The sequence below is a fragment of the Homo sapiens genome, chromosome 20 (genome assembly GCF_000001405.40).
Source record: "Homo sapiens chromosome 20, GRCh38.p14 Primary Assembly".
NCBI lineage: Eukaryota > Metazoa > Chordata > Mammalia > Primates > Hominidae > Homo > Homo sapiens.
The window spans coordinates 45,124,500-45,141,422 of NC_000020.11; the positions used below are offsets into that span (position 1 = coordinate 45,124,500).

Consider the following 16,923-nt stretch of genomic DNA (forward strand, 5'->3'; position numbering starts at 1 on the left):
TTCCTGCTGGGCATGCCAGTGGGTGGAGCTGAAGGCTCAAAATGGCAAGGGAGGCTGCACTTCCCAGCTCTATTTGGAAATGGCCCCTTCTGAGGAGGGACTTGGGGCTTTCCCTAAGGCTCTGCACTGGAATAGATGAAGAAATCCAAGAGCGACCCTCGTTCTTCACACGAGGAGAAGAAATGGACACGTGATTGACCATTAGGCGCCACCAGGGCCAAACTATCTTATGGAAGGAGGAAAAGAAGCACAGAAAGGGCATGAAATTACTCAAGTTCACACACGAGGCAGTGGCAGGGCCAGACTTCCTCAACTCCACCGTGTTCTCTATCAGTCCCTCTTCATGCCTGATTCACCTGGGACCAAAATCTTCCCTCCTTCCTGTGCTGCCCCGGACTTGTTCTCAGTTCTCACCTCACCCCAAGGAAGAATCTGAATGGCAGTGCTTAAAATGTCTGTCCTGAACATTCACTCTCAGCCTTGCGCTCCAGCACCGTGTGCTCCTGCCCCCCGCCAATCTCATGTGGCCTGGAGGAAAGCAGATTTTGGACCTGTCACCAGCTGTGTGACTTTGAAAGCAGCTTCACCTTTCTAAGCCTCCGTTTCCTCATTCATACAATGAGCATAATAATTATACTGTATCATCTTCATAGGATTTGTTTTCCCTCCTCTGCCCCTGCATCCCCCAAATTCCTGGATTTGGAAGAAGACATGGACGTGTGTGCGTGTGTGTGTGTGTGTGTGTGTGTGTGTGTGTGTGACCAGGCTTTTGGGGTCCTTTCTTTGAATGAGTACTAAAGGGAGGAAAATCCTTCCTGTTGGAAAAGTTGCAGATATAAGCCCAGAAACTCCAGAAATTTGGTCCTGGCCCTGGTGAGAGAGAAATTCTGAGAAGATAAATCTAAGATGCTGATAAAAAGAGATGAGAGATGGACAGGGAGTAATTTAGAGGATATCTAGTCCTTCACTAAACTTTTTCCTGAGATCAGCCCCACTCATACCCAGGGTTATGTTACCACCCAATACATTCACCTTTCTGCCTAAGCTGGTCTGAATTGGATTTCTGTCATTTACTAACAGGACCCCTGAGTAATGCAAAGATTTGGGTTTGGGGTGTTCCACATCCTGAAGTGTGGAAGGGACTGAGTTGGGGTTAAGTGGAGGCAGGGAGGATACCTCCATTCCTGGAAGTGAGCCTACTCCTTATTAGGTGGTGAATCTTTGGTTACAATCTCACCAGTCATATCACTGGACTCAGATCATTTGGATACCAGGGATGGAATCTGGGAAGTTCATAAACAAATACTAGAATGTTGGAATGTATTGGCTATTTCCTCCTCCACCTTTTTATTATGAACTTTTTAAACATACAGAAAAATTGAAATAACAGAACAATGATACTTGTATACCTACAACTGGATTTAACAATTATTAATAGTTTGGGATATTTTAGAATACCTATAGCTACATTTGTTGAAATATTTGAAATGAAATTGAATACATTATGTTCCTATTTCCTAAATACATCAGCATGCAAATTCTAAGAATAAGGATATTCTTCAATATAATCACAAAGCCATTATCATATCTAAGATAATTAATAGTTTCTGCATGTCATCTCATAGCCAGTTCATATTTGTTTCTCCGGTTCTCCCCAAAATGTCATTTGTAATTGACTGTTGATGATACTTCTTTAAAAAAAGTATTGTAAAATAAATCCTACATATGAAAGAATGTAATCAACATTCTATACCTTTTGAAAAAGAATAATAAACACCTATGAACCTATCAATTTAGAATAGGACATTACCATCCCTACTTCAGAGGTAACCACTATCTTGAACTTTCTGTTAATCATCCTCATGTTTTCCTTTAAAGTTTTGCTCTCTTGCTATGGCTTGCTTAGTGATACGTGTTGTTTAATTTCGTGTAAGCGTAATTATGGCCTAAGTATTCTTTTGTATTTTGCATGCTTTGCTCAACACCGTGTTTTTTTAAAAAATTGTGGTAAGAAATATATACTATAAGACATGACCTCTTAACATATTTTTAAGTGCATACTAACAGTATTGTTAATTGTGGGCACAGTGTCATACAGTAGGTCTCTAGAACTTTTTCATCTTGCATGACTGAAACCCACTGAATAGCAACTCCCTATTCCCCCCACCCCCAGACCCTTGGAACCACCATTCTGTTTTCTGCTTCTATAAGTGACTACTTTAGACACTTCATAAAAGTGGAATTATGCCATATTTGTCCTTTTGTGACTGGCTTATTTTGCTTAGCATAATGTCCTTGAGGTTCACCCATGTTGTAGCATGAGATAGACTTTTCTTCTTTTTTATGGCTGAATAATATTCCATGGTATGCATATATATGTACATGTATATAATCTTTTTCCTTCCCTCATTTATCTGTCAATGGGTCAATGCACATTTAGGTTTCCATTTCTTGGCTATTGTGAATATTGCAGCAATGAACTTGCAGGTGCAAATATCTCTTTGGGATCCTGATTTAAATTCTTTTGGATAAATACCCAGAAGGGGGATTGCTGGATCATGTGATAGCTCTATTTTTAATTTTTTGAAGAACTTCCATACTGTTTTCCGTAGTGGCTATACTCCTTTAAATTCTCACTGACAGTGCACAAGGGTTCCAAATTCTCCACATTCTCACCGGTACTTGTTTTCTTTTTCTTTTCTTTTTAAAATAAAAGCCATCCTAACAGGTATGAGGTGATCTTATGGTTTGATTTTCATTTTCCTGATGATTAGACATGTTGAGTATCTTTTCACATACCTGTTGGCCATTTGTATATCTTCTTTGGAGAAATGTCTGTTTAAGTCTTATTCACTTTTAATTGGGTCTTTATATTTATATGTGTGTGTATATATATATATATATGCATATGTACACACACATATATATAATGAAAAAGAAAAGAAATAAGTATTAGAATGGGAGACGAGAAAAGCCATTGTTTGCAAATGATGCAATAATAAAAACACAAAAGAAACTACAGATACATCATGAGTTAGACAATTTTTCAAGATTAGCTGACACAAAAATCAATATATAAAAGTCAGCTGCTTTCTATACACTAGAAATATTGGTTAGAAAAATGTAATACGTTAAAAGCAATAACATGTAAAATATTTAGTAATAAAGGCAACCTGTGAGATGGGAAAAATATTTGCAAACTACCTACCAGATAAGGGGTTAATTTTCAAAATATATAAAGAACTGCAACTCAATAGCAAAAATATGTTTACATATATATATACATATATACATAGCAAAAATATGTTTATATATGTATATATATAAATACATTTAGGCTTACATTTAGGTTTCCTAGAAACCTAGACTGTCTAGGAAGCAAGCCCCATAAGGAACTTCTCATATTCATATTATAAGAAGGTAAAATTGCAGGGGACAATGTTCCTGTTTTGTAGTAGTAAACTACCTTCTCAAAAGGTGGTTATTTTGTCCCCAGGGGACTTTGGCAATGTCTGGAGACATATTTGATTGTCACAACTGGGACAGATGTGCTTCTCACATCCAGTGTCTAGAGGCTGAGGTTGCTGCTAAATATCTAACAATGCACAAGACAGCTTTTCACAACAAACAATGATCTGTCTCCAAGTGCCAATAGTATTGATGTTGAGAAACGCTGCTGTCCTGCCTCACTGACTAATAGCTGTGCATGGCCTCAGAACACCTCAATGTAGGCTGAAGCGAGTAATGATGGGAGTGTCTGCTGGGAGTATCCCATGCTTAGGAGTGCTGATCCTTGGCTCACTGGTTTCACCCAGTAAAGGCATTCCTTAGCCCATGCCATGTGACCTTGTGGAATTCATCCCATGTTCTGCTGAATCAGGTTAATAAAGTTCCCTTTTAATTCTAGTTAGCTAAGAGTTTTTCTCATGAAAGGATGTTGAATTTTTATCAAATGCCTTTTCTTCATCAATTGAAATAAATATATGGATTGTCTCTTCAATCTGTTATTTTGTGAATTACATTAACCAGATTTCACATTCATTGTCTTTTTTGGGCATCATTTATTTATGTGCTTCAAGAAAGTGGAAAGCCTTGAACCAAAATGGCGGAGTCTAAGACAGGGAATGAAAGGGAAGATATATTTCTCATAAACGTGGAATATATATTCCTGAAAATCATTAGGTTACAGAGTTTTGCTCACTACAAATAATAGGGCTTCTGGAAAAAATAGAGTTGAAGTAGAACATTCAATATTTGTGCAGTCTCATAAGTAATACATCAAACAAACAGAACCCACACCCAATAAAAACATGACCACAGTGTTAAACATCTTCAGTTCCTAATAAAGAAATTATGTAGTAAATGTAGCACTTTACTTTGACAAAAGATGGGGAGTTTGCTTGGTAAGTGGGTATGGTGAAATACTGTGGCTTTTGAGGTATGTACAAAAGGTGGAATGAAGGACATCATCATTCTTGGGACTAAATGTTGTTATACTGGAGGGTCATTGTCGTCAATCTTTTACTTCTGTACTGGCTTAAAACAGCAATCCGCTTCGTTGATTTGCCAGTTCCTCCCTTTTGTAAGGAAGCTGTATAACTCTAAATGAAACTGGATAACTGCAAAGTTCTATGCTGATGCTCTTGACATTAAAATCTTGATCTTTGGCTGGGCGTGGTGGCTCACGCCTGTACTCCCAGAACTTTGGGAGGCCAAGCCGGGCGGATCACTTGAGGTCAGGAGTTCAAGACAAGCCAGCCAACATGGTGAAACACTGTCTCCACTGAAAATACAAAAATTAGCTGGGTGTGGTAGTACATGCCTGTAATCCCAGCTACTTGGGAGGCTGAGGCATGAGAATCATTTGAATCCAGGAGGCAGAGGTTGCAGCGAGCTGAGATCACACCACTGCACTCCAGCCTGGACAACAGAGCGAGACTTTGTCTCAAAAAAACAAAAAACAAAACAAAACAAAAAAACTTGACCTTTAATCCACTACAATTGTTTATCAATATCACTTGAAGCTGATAGTAACTGATGTGTTAGGCTCACTAGCGGTCTCATCTCTGACGGAGTGCAACATTTAGCTTATTGCTGTGGTGAATAGCATATGCTCTCATTTATTCAAAAATATTTTATTATTTCAAACTTCTCAGTATTTAAGACATTTCTTTTATTTATTTATTTTTACATTTTTATTAATTTATTTTTTTAGATGGAGTCTCCCTTTGTCACCCAGGCTGGAGTGCAGTGGTGCAATCTCTGCTCACTGCAACCTCTGCTTCCTGGGTTCAAGAGATTCTCCTGCCTCAAGCTCCCAAGTAGCTGGGGCTACAAGCTGGCTAACTTTTGTATTTTTAGTAGAGATGGGGTTTCACCATCTTGGCTAGTCTGCTCTCAAACTCCTGATCTCAGGTGATCCACCCCCGTCAGCCTCCCAAAGTGCTGGGAATACAGGCATGAGCCACAATGCCTGGCCTTCAGGCATTTCTTTTAAAATCATGTTTCAGATTCTTGTTTCCAGGACATTGAACACAGTATTAAATACTTCTATCAAGAAGAGGATAGAACTCAGGATAACAGCACATCACGCACTTGGTAGGGCAATGACTATAGGTAAACTGAGATAAGAGGGAGGAGATGAAGTGTTTGTTATTTTGTGTGTCACTCAAGAGATACCATGTTCAATATTTTTGCATTCGATTTGTTTTATATGACAGGACAAGGCATAGTCACCTTATGAAAAACTGTATTAACCCAATTTTACATGTTAGTGATTTAATTCCTTATTTATCTACCATGTATGAACATATTCTGCTTGTTAAAGCACTTGCTTCAGCAGGAGAGACTCGTGGGTGTGTGTGTGTGTGTGTGTGTCTGTGTGTGTGTATATCTTTATATTAATGAGAGGTGACATCACAGTAATCTTTGCCTTGACAGTGTGCCTGACTGAATAGTATAAGCTGAATTAATGCCCTTGTTAGAAATTGTGGGATCCCAAAATATTTAATGCCTAAAAATCAGGAAATGATCATCTGAACCCCTTCTCCACCTTCCACTGAGCCAGACAAAGGTGCAAATGCTTCCTTAAAGGAAGATCAACCAGGAAGAAGTTATGCCTATTCTTTAGCTACTTTTTCCCTAGTTTTAAAGATATGAAATTCTATTTAAAGTATTATCACAATAATATATGTACACAGTATAAAATGTAAAGTGTAAAACCAGGTTTACAATGGGAATCTCCTACATTGCTCCTATTTACCTTGATTCCTGATACCCAGAGGTCCTGATACCAGAGGTAAACACTTTTAGCTCTTCTAGCTGTTTCTAATATTTATCTCCATGTTTCTAAATAACATTCTGATGTATTATTAATGTTCTTACATTTGTATTCTAAATTGTGTATTATATAATTTTCTTAAATTTCTGAAAAATTTAAATTTGGATTTAAAAAAATTATTTTCTTGTGGTAAGAACACTTAGCATGAGATCTACCCTCGTAACACCTTTTTAAGTGTGTAGTACCATATTAACTCTAGGCACTATGTTGTACAGCAGATCTCTAGAACTTTTTCATCTTGCATAACTGAAACTTTACCCACTGAACAACAATCCCCCATTTCCCCCTTCCTGAAACCCTTGGAAACCACCATCATACTTTTTGCTTAAATAAGTTTGACTACTTTAGACAACTCACGTAAGATTATAAAAGTGGAACTGTGAAATAGTTGTCCTTCTGTGACTGGCTTATTTTGCTTAGCATAGTGTCTTCAAGGTTCATCCACGTTGTAGCATAATGAAAAGATTTCCCTCTTTTTTGGCTATTCAAATTCCATGATATGTAAATACCACATTTTCTTTACCGCATTCACCTGTCAATAAACTTTTAGTTTGTTTCCACCTCCTGGCCATTGTGAATAATACTGCAGTAAACATGGGAGTGATCAAGGATGTTGGTAAACATCCCAGAACGTACCAGACAGCCTCCCACAACAAAAAAATTGTCCATCCCCAATGTCAATAGTGCCAAGGTTGGGACTCTCTGTCCTAATCCAAGCTATTGCAGTATTTCTTATCTGGGTCACAGAAATAACTTGATAACTCGTCTTCCCACTGACAAACCACACATTCTCCAGAATGATCACATAAAACACATATTAGTTCTTGAGTGTTTGCTGTTTGACTTTATCATATTCTATTCCATCTCAAGGCTTCTGTAAATACAGGTCCCTTTGCTGGAACATGTCTTCTTCTTCACCTCTTGCTCTTTGACCACAACTTGGCTAAGTTTTTCATATTCTTCAAGTCTCAGCTTCCATGATGCTACATCAAAGAAGTCTTTTTCACCCTCCCTTTTAATTTTTCTCAGAGCAGATAGTTTTATGCATAGTTTATTTATATTTGTACTCAAATTTGCCACAGTTTGTAATGACGTATGTATCTGTGATTTTCTTTAGTCGAGAGAAAATTGTCAAAATTATTTTCCATCACTCCTGATACCTTAATGTGTATTTCCCTCAAAGATATCCTCTGTTGTGACCACAATACAACCATGAACATCAGGAAATTAACACTGATACATTCTTGTCCTCTAATAGCCCCAACTCAAGTTTTACCATCATAATGAGAATACTTAAAATCTACTATCTTAGCAGTTTTCAAAAGTACACAATATTGTTATTAACCATATTCATCATGCTGTACAATTGATATCTTGAATTTATTCTTCCTATCTAACTGAAATTTTGTATTCTTTGACCAACATCTCCCCACACTCCCCTTCCCCCCAGCCCCTGCTAATCACAATCTATTCTCTTCTTTTATGAGTTCAACTTTTTAGATTCCACATATAAGTGAGATCATGCAGAATGTGTCTTTCTGTGCCTAGCTTATTTCATTTAACATAATGCCATCCAGGTTCATCCATTTGTAACATATGACAAAGTTTTGTTCTTTTTTTAAGGCTAAAGAGTATTTCATTGTGTATATATACATTCTCTTGATCTATTCATCCATTTTTGCATGCTTATGTTGATTCCATATTTTAGCTATTGTGAAAAATACTGCAATGAACATGGAAGTGCAGATATCTCTTCAAAATACTGATTTTAATTCCTTTGGATATGTAACTAGTAGTGGGATTGCTGGATTATATTTTAGTTCTATTTTTAATTATTTGAAGAACTTCCATAGTATTTTCCATAATGACTGTAAAAATTTACATTCCCACCAGTAGTGTGCAAAGGCTCCCCTTTTCTCCACATCCTTGCCAGCATTTATCTTTTGTCTTTTATATAGTAGCCATTCTAACAGGTATCAAACAATATCATTGTGGTTTGTTTGCATTTTCTGATGATCAGTGATGTTGATCGTTTTCAAATATACTTATGGGTTATTTGTATGTATTCTATTGAAAATATCTATTCAGATTCTTTATTCACTCCTTAATTGGGTTATATTTTTTCTATTGAGTTGTCTGAGTTTCTTATATATTTTAGATATTAATCCCCTATCAGATGCATGGTTTGCAAATAATTTCTCCCACTTCATAAGTTGTCTCTTCAATCTGTTGTTTCCTTTTTTGTGCAGAAGCTTGTTAGTTTGATGTAATTTCATTTGTCTATTTTTGCTCTTATTGCCTATATTTTTGGGGCCATATCCAAAATATAATTGCCCAGACCAATGCTGTGGACCTTTCCCACTATATTTTTTTCTAGTAGCTTTACAGTTTCAAGTCTTTAAGTCTTTAACCCACTTTGTTGATTTTTACATGTGGTGTGTGATAAGGGTCCAATTTTAGTCTTCTGCATATGGATATCCAGCTTTGCCAACATTATTACTGAAGAGACTGTCTCTTCCCCATTGTGTATTTTTGGCATCTTTGTCAAAACTCAGTTGACTGTAAATGCATGGATTTATTTCTGGGATGTCTATTTTGTTTGTTCTATTGGCCTATGTGTCTATTTTTATGCCAGTACCATCTTATTTTGATTACTATGGCTTTGTAGTGTATTTTGAAATCAGGTAGTGTGATGCCTCCTGACAAAAAAAATTGTCACTTTTGCTCAAGATTGCTTTGTTAAAGCAGTCTTTAACGAAAGGTCTTTTGTGGTTCCCTGTAAATTTTAGGGCCTTTTATTTCTAGTTCTATGAAAATATCCTTGGAATTTTGATAGGCATTTCATTGAATCTGTAGATTGCTTTGAGTAGTATGGACATTTTAACAATATAAATTCTTTAATCCATAAACATAAAATAATATTTGTATTTACTGTGTCTTCTTCAAACCGATAACTTAACTTTGATCATATGAAAACTCTACACTTTGATTCCACCCTGTCCCAGCTTTTTAAAAGATGGGGTCTTGCTACATTGCCCAGGCTTGTCTCAAAGTCCTGGGCTCAAGTGATTTTCCTGCTTCAGTCTCCTGAGTAGCTGGGATTATAGGCATGAGCTACTGTCCCTGGCTCCCACATTAAAAATTTTTAATGTTACAACTTACATCTTTTTATATTGTGTGCTCTTTGACAAGTTATTGTAGCTTTTATTATTTTTAATAGTTTTGTGTTTTACCCTTAATACTAAAAATATTTGATTTACACGCCACCATTATAGTATTAGAGTATTCTGAATTTGACTATGTACTTACTTTTATTAGTGAGTTTTATACTTTCGTATGTTTTCATCTTACTTATTAAAATCTTTTTCTTTCTGCTTGATGAACTTCCTTTAGCATTTTTTGTAATACTAGTCTCTTGACAATAAAGTCCTCCAGCTTTTGTTTGTCTGGACAATTTTAGTTTCTCTTTCATTCCTGAAGGACAGTTACTTTTTTTCCTTCAGCACTGTGAATATATCATTCCACTTTCCTGGTCTTTAAAGTTTCTGCTGCAAAGTTCACTGTTAGCCTTATTGGAATTCCCTTATGTGAAGTGCTTTTGCTTGCTGCTTTTAGGATCCTCTCTCTGCTTTTGATTTTTGACAGACTGATTGTAATCTATCTTGTTGTAGTGTTGTTTGGTTTAAATTTTATTGAAAGCTTTTGACCTTCCTATACCTATATATTTATGTCCTTTCCCAGATTTGGAAAGTTTTCTGCTATTATTTATTTAAATAAGCTTTCTACCCCTTTTTGTCTCTTCTTCTTAAAATCCCATAACTCGAATATTTGCTCTTTTGATGCTGTCCTAGATATTTCATAATCTTTCTTCACTACTCTTCATTTTTTTTCTTTTTTCTCATTTGAGTGTATATTCTAAAATAACTTTTCTTTGAGTTTACAGGTTTTTTCTTCTGCTTGATCAATTCTGCTGCTGATGCTCTTTATTGAATTTTTAATTTCATTCATTGCATTTTTCAGCTGCAGAATGTCTGTTTGATCTTTTAAAAAATGGCTTTACTCTCTCTATTAAATTTCTTATTTACTTTTTCTGATTTCATGAATTATTTCTCTGTATTAGTATTATTTTTTGAAGTTCATCAAGCTTCCTAAGAATAATTAGTTTGAATCCCTTGTCAGACAGTATTATATTTCTCCACTTCTTTGAGGTCAGTTATTAGGAGATTATTGTGTTCTTTTGGTGGCATTATATCTCTTTAATTTTTCATATTTCTTGTTCCCTTATGTTACTATCTGTGCATTTGAAGAAGTAGGGACTTATTCCAGGCTTTTCAGACTGACTTTGTCTGGGAGAGCCCTTCCCCAGTCAATCTGTCCAGAGATTCTGGGGAGACCATTGAGTGTGGTCTTTGGGCAGGTTTGAGTGCTTGGGCAGCCTAGCCTGGTGCCTGGGTCAGCAGGTGGGTGGACGTGTTACCTGGGTGGGGTTGGGCCTGGAATCTGTATTCACAGGAGCTAGCCTGAAGCCTGGGTCCATGGGGGCTGGCTTGCTCTTGGGGTGGCCCTTGAGCCTGAGTCTGAAAGGGCTGGCCAAGTACTGAGATGAGCCTGAAACGTGGGTCTACTGGAGCAGGCCTGTAGCCTTAGTCCAAGGGGCCGGGCCTGGGTCCTGGGTCCATGGTGTCTGACCTTGAGCATGGGTCTTCAGGGATGGTACTGGATCCTCAGTGCATGGGGAACTGGCCTGGTATTTGGGTCTACTGGGATGGGCCTGGATCCTGGGTCTGTTAGGGCAATCCTGGACCCTTTGTCTTCTGGACTCTGAGAACACAGAGTCTGGTCTAGAGTCTGGGTTTGGCCTCATGTTGTGGCAGTTGTAGTTCCTGGGTCTGCAGGGGCTTGTCTGGATCCTGGCATTGCAGATGCTGGCCAGTTTCCTGGAGACGTGTGTGCTGGCTTAGAGCCCGGGTCTGTGGGGACCTGCCTGGAGCCTGAGTTTACTGGGGCTGACCTTGGGGGCTGGGTGTGTGGGTGCTGGCCTGGAGGCTAGGTTCACAAGGGTTGTCCTGGGTCCTGGCCATAGGGGCTAGCCTGGAGCCTGAGTCTCTGGGGGCCAGTCTAGTGCTGCGGTCTACTGAGATAGGCTGGACCCTGGGTCTACTAGGGTTTGGGGCCATAGGGAACATCATGGTACTGGCTCAGAGACAGCTAGGGACAGTACTTTTGCCTCAGAGATCACTGAAATTATTCAAACTGGCCAATCTTGAGACACTTACCCTGCCTCACCTGCTCCTTCTTGCAGGAACCACAGAAAAGGTTTGCCCACATTTCTCCCTCACTCCCTCTATCTCTTGACTGAAAAAGGTGCTTTCTATGTGCCCCCCTGCCCTACCCTTCCCATGGCAAGGTGTGGCTCTCCTTTGAGATATGTGAGTATAACAAACTCTCTTTTAAAAGGCAGTAATCTCCTGATATGTTCGCTTTGTCATACCTAAATAATATTAAATACCTAAATAATATTAAAACCCAATTTTTTAAAAAGGAGCTTGGAAGGCAAAGGACTAGAAAATCAGTAGCAAGGATGTCTGTGGTAGGGAAAGAGGACCAAAATGTGAGGAGACATTTACTGTGAAGACTTGTGTATTACATATTAACACCTGCTGGGAAGCATCTATGATAGATTAGACCCTGACAGCCAAGATGAAAAACTCAACAAGTTGACATTAACCAGCTTTCTTTTTTCTTTTTTTCTTTCTTTCTTTCTTTTTTTTTTTTTTTTGCGACAGGGTCTAGCTCTGTCGCCCAGGTTGGAATGCAGAGGTGCGGTCTCCCCTTACTGCAACCTCTGACTTCCAGGCTCAAGCCATCCTCCCACGTCAGCCTCCCAAGTAGCTGGGATAACTAGCCTTCATCACCATACCTGGAGAAGTAACTGCAACACAAGGTAGAGGACAGTGGTGAGCATGGAAATGCACTGCTTAGATCTCCTGCTGCTTCAGGGTGTGCAACTGATGGATGCCCCCAGCTACTGTCCTCTGCATCTGCCACTATGTCTGTGCAGAAGTCATGGATGCTTCCATCAGGTTACTCCCAGCCAATGACTGAGTGAGGCCCGAACACTAAGGCAGGCTCATTCTGAGACCTGGGCCTCTTCTGATAGGTGACTTCAGTTCAAGCGTTGTCTTTCAGCCTGACTGGCACTTTACCAATGTTGTAATTCATTCTGAGACTCTTCCTCCTTCCTTCTCTCCTCCCTCAGAGCAGGCAGCCCTGCATCATGGTCTCATGCTCTCCTTGCCACTTTGGCTACCTCCCTTTGTCCCTCACAGGCATTTTCCCTGACACACACTCTTGATTACCTAATCCTGTCTAGGTATCTGCTTTTCAGAGTGAGTCCTAAACAAACCTACTCACCTATAGTTTTGGTTTGAATAGTTCAGGAAATGTTGAAAAAAGGGAGAAGAAGAGGAAGAAGATGGGAGAAAAGAACATGCTTTTTTTTTCCTTAATAGTTATTACTATCAAGTCAAGATGATTAAATTCCGTTAGAAACATTAAAAAGATTAAGGTTGCTTTTTAAATGAAAGGACAATATTCATCATATTCTTAAAAGTTTATTCTTTGTAACTATTATGCAATTATGATAAAAATGTTAGATGTCAACTTAAAGCATGCTAGGGAATAATTGGCTTTTCAAAATTTGTTTATAATAGTTACAAATAAAATTTTGGAAGACTTGTCCAGACTTCTACTACCTTTGTGGTCCTTAACTAAATGTGAAATATTAATCATATCCTTTTTTCAGATCCTAAGGGAAAAGCCATAAAGGATGGAGAGAGAGACAGGGAGAGAGAGAGGAGATCCAGCAGTCTTACAGATTTTTCTGTGGTTTTAAATATACAATGCTTTATCTCTTTGTCTTCTTGTCATATTAACAAGCATTTAACTCTGAAATGACATCTTGGGCCTGGGAAGATCATGGACAAATTGGAGACCAGTTATCCAAATCAGAGCCTGTAGCACCAGCGTCTCCTCAGGCTTGGCTAAGGAGTTTCCACCTCGAGAGAGAAGAGAGAATCAGGGATGTAGGAAGGTGAAAAGGTTCAGGGAAGGTTCAGCCTGGCTGGTACTTTGTCAATGCCAGGTGACATGGCATTGCAGGAGACATGAATTTGTGTCCTGGGGCACTGTGGCAGAAATCCTGCTAAGTACTCTCCTTCACAGAAAACTGAGATATGCTGCCCCAGAATCAGGGACTGGGGATCAGGGACTCTAGGCAAGCCATCCTAAGGAATAATGAATTTATAATCCCTGACCTTACAATTTAAATATGAAGAGAAAGGTGCTGTGAAAGGTATCGTGAAAAACTAAAATAATAACAATAAAAATTCAATAACCCTTGAGCAACTTAGAGATTATCTTGTCCAAATGTCCCCTTCATACAGAAGAGAAGGGTGATGCCCCTTATGTGAAATGGACAGTGCATATCCTGAGCAAGGAGGTCTATTGAGCCACCCGCTTCACTGTTCCGAGGCAGATCTGTGGGCCAACCCAACTTGAAAGATCTGATCTCAATGATTTCCAGGGGCATGGGCAGTTATCAACTCCTTCTAAGATGAATGCTTCTGCAGGAAGGTTTCAGGCGCAGCCGAGAAGGGCAGATCTGGGGCTCCTTACCTCAATCCAAAGTCCACCAAAGCTCTGTACACTGATGTTGACAGTTGAAGAAGCAATACTTCTCGATCCCCAGGCAGGCTTTATAGTGCAGCACACAGGTAAGAGGGTGAAAGGGCAGGATAGAGTAAACTCTGGGCAATATCCAGGTTTCGGTGCAGCTGGAGAAAGATGCCACAGGGTGAGTCGAGGGCAACCATAAGTCACTTCCAGGTATCAGGGCCAGCTCGTTCCACGGATTCCTCAGAGGAAATGTTCCCTAACCCCACCCACACCCAGGATTGTCACGCCTTACTCACTCACACTCTTCAGGATTCCAGGCTGAACCATGCGGAGGCCAAAGAGGACGGTCACAGAGAGTAGAGAGAGGCTGCTCAGCTTCTTGGTGCAAGAAAAGGGCGTGGGTGCACCTGGAGGCTGGACGAGTCTATGTCAGTTCTGGCGGGGCTCCACCAGCAGGCGGCGCTGTGGCTCTGGGGGCTGGAGGTCAGAGGTGCCTCAACTTGACCCGGAACCATCAGCTGTTTCCTTTCACCTCCAGGAAGAGATAACGTGAAACCATTTGTGCGGTATAATTTATGAGAGCCCTCGTGGACTGCCTTTCTTCAGGGTGTTGCAGGGCTGCCCTGGCTCTTCCTTATTCTGACTTTATCCAGCGGCTTTTGAGGCAATAGGAGGGCATTGTCTTTCCCCAGGCTTGTATCAGGTCTGACCAACTCCCCTCGTCCCAGTGTGTATCCAGAACAATTGAAACCCACCCCTCCCAGCGGTGTTCACATATGGGTGCGTTTGGGGTACCACATCGAAGTTGAAACACACACAAAGCTAGATATTGTGCTATCAGTAAGATAATTTCTAGATTCATAGAAAATATAAATGCATTATGAACTACAGAGAAATAAGTTTCAGTTGCGTTATTAGTGTTTGCTCCTTTAACTCCTGTCTTTATGTTGCCATGACTCTGCAAAAACTTTATTTGTTGATAAAATTAAAAGTCTAACTAGGTTATTTTGTAATGTGACCCCTAGGCTAAATAACCGTTCTGCCTCTCTGCACTCCTGTAAAAGTGTGTGATGTACCTACTCACTTGGTGGCTGAGAACATAGCTATCAGTAATGGTGAGAAATGGGTTATGAGTGCACACAGGAAAATTGGTACCTGATGTGGAAGGTAGAGAAATACTGAGGAAAAAGCTCTCTGAAGCAGGTGTTCTATCTATCTATCTATCTGTCTATCTATCTATCTATCTATCTATCTATCTATCTATCTATCATCTGTCTATCATCAACATCATCATCATCATCCTTTCCTCTCTTTCTAGTGCAATCTGTGGTTACCTCCTAGCTGTGTGTCTTTTTGCTGTTTTATGACACAAAGCTGGAAAGTTGATATATCTTTGAGGTAGGACAGTAAAGGTATATTGCTGGCCTTGCCAGCTGAAGGCAAATTGCTTCTGGTGGGCCTTATGGACAGGAATGGAGGAAAAGGCATTTGCCAAGTCAATGGCTGTACACCAGGTACCAGGAAATGTGTTAATTTGCTCAAGCAATGAAACCATATCTGGTACAGCAGCTGCAATTGGCGTCACCACTTGGTTAAGCTTATGATAATCCACTGTCAGTCTTTAAGATCCATCTGTGTTCTGCCCAGGCCAAGTGGGAGAGTTGATCGGGGACGTAGAGGGAATCACCACTCTTGGGTCTTTCAAGTCCTTGAAAGTGGCGCTAATCTCGGTAATCCCTCCAGGGATGTGGTATTGTTTTTGATTTACCATTTTCCTAGGTAGAGGTAGCTCTAATGGCTTCCACTGGCCTTTCCCACCATAATAGCCCTCACCCTACCAGTCAGGGAGCCAATGTGGGGGTTCTGCCAGCTGTTAAGTATGGCTATGCCAATTACGCATTCTGGCACTGGGGAAATGACCACAGGATGAGTCCAGGGGCCCACTGGACCCACTATAAGTTGGACCTGAGCCAAAACTCCGTTAATTACCTGATCTCCATAAGCCCTTACTTTTGGTCCTGGAGGACCACAATGATGTTTTGGGTCCCCTGGAATCAACGTCAGCTCAGAGCCAGTGTCCAGTAGTCCCTGAAATGTCTGATCATTTCCCTTTCCCCAGTACACAGTTCCCCTGGTAAAAAGCCAGAGGTCTCCTTGGGAAAGGATGGGAAAAAGATTCACTGCATAAATTGGTCATAGGGTAGTGGGGTCTTTCCTCAAGGGGCCCTGGCCTCCCCTTCATTCAAGGGGTTCTGGGTCTGTAAACTGGTTCAAGTCTGGAAATTGATTGAGGGGCCATGATTCTCTGCTTTTATAATTCAAATTAGTCTTTTGTCCATTCGACCTAGAAGTTTTATGCTTGTATAAATTAAATAGGAATGCAGTAGGCCTCCTATCAATTTCACTTTTTAGGAACACTAGGATTAATTAGCCAGTGCCAGAGCTCTACATGAGTCAGACTGATTGCTGCTTTGCCTCTGCTTTCCATTATGGTAGCTACACCCACCTTGCCTTTGACAGTTGAGTGCTGCCACTTGGCTCCTGCCACCTCGGGCTTCAGTTATTCCCATTGTATTTAAGTTTTGTAGTTAAGTGACTGCGGTTCCCACTGTTAGATCTGACATACAGAAAAGAGCAAATACAGGGCTCTTCAAAGATGAGGGTGCTGACCTCACAAATCGATTTCACAAGGCATTGGTCAAGGGTGTATCTTCTGGACCCTCCCAGCTGGGATGAGTAGGTCTAAAGTGACTAATTCGCTCCAGCATCCCAATCTCCCTAAGCCTTTGGATCCCTTCCTCTACATTAAGCCAAGGGAGATCAGGCATTTCCAGCTCATTCACAGTGGGCCATCTTTTAATCCATATTTCAGCTAAACAAGCAAATAAACTATTAGAACCTTTTAA

General features: G+C 40.0%; 1 long non-coding RNA gene across 2 annotated transcripts, besides 1 other annotated feature; it reads right to left on the minus strand.

Annotated features, from left to right (window-relative positions):
- Positions 1–12,938: 12,938 nt before the first annotated feature.
- Positions 12,939–14,530, minus strand: LOC101929863 (uncharacterized). 2 transcript variants are annotated; one of them, XR_936751.3, is made up of 3 exons: positions 14,318–14,530; positions 14,018–14,175; positions 12,939–13,398 (listed from the first exon to the last, which is right to left on the minus strand). It is a non-coding gene; the product is annotated as an uncharacterized LOC101929863 (long non-coding RNA). The 2 variants fall into 2 exon arrangements; XR_430321.4 differs by having other exon boundaries at positions 14,314–14,530.
- Positions 14,344–14,403: an enhancer, noted in NCBI's record as "active region_17945". NCBI's record gives its function as "activates an Ori minimal core promoter by ATAC-STARR-seq in GM12878 lymphoblastoid cells {active_cell/tissue: GM12878}" and the evidence as "EXISTENCE:reporter gene assay evidence [ECO:0000049][PMID:35858748]".
- Positions 14,531–16,923: the final 2,393 nt, after the last annotated feature.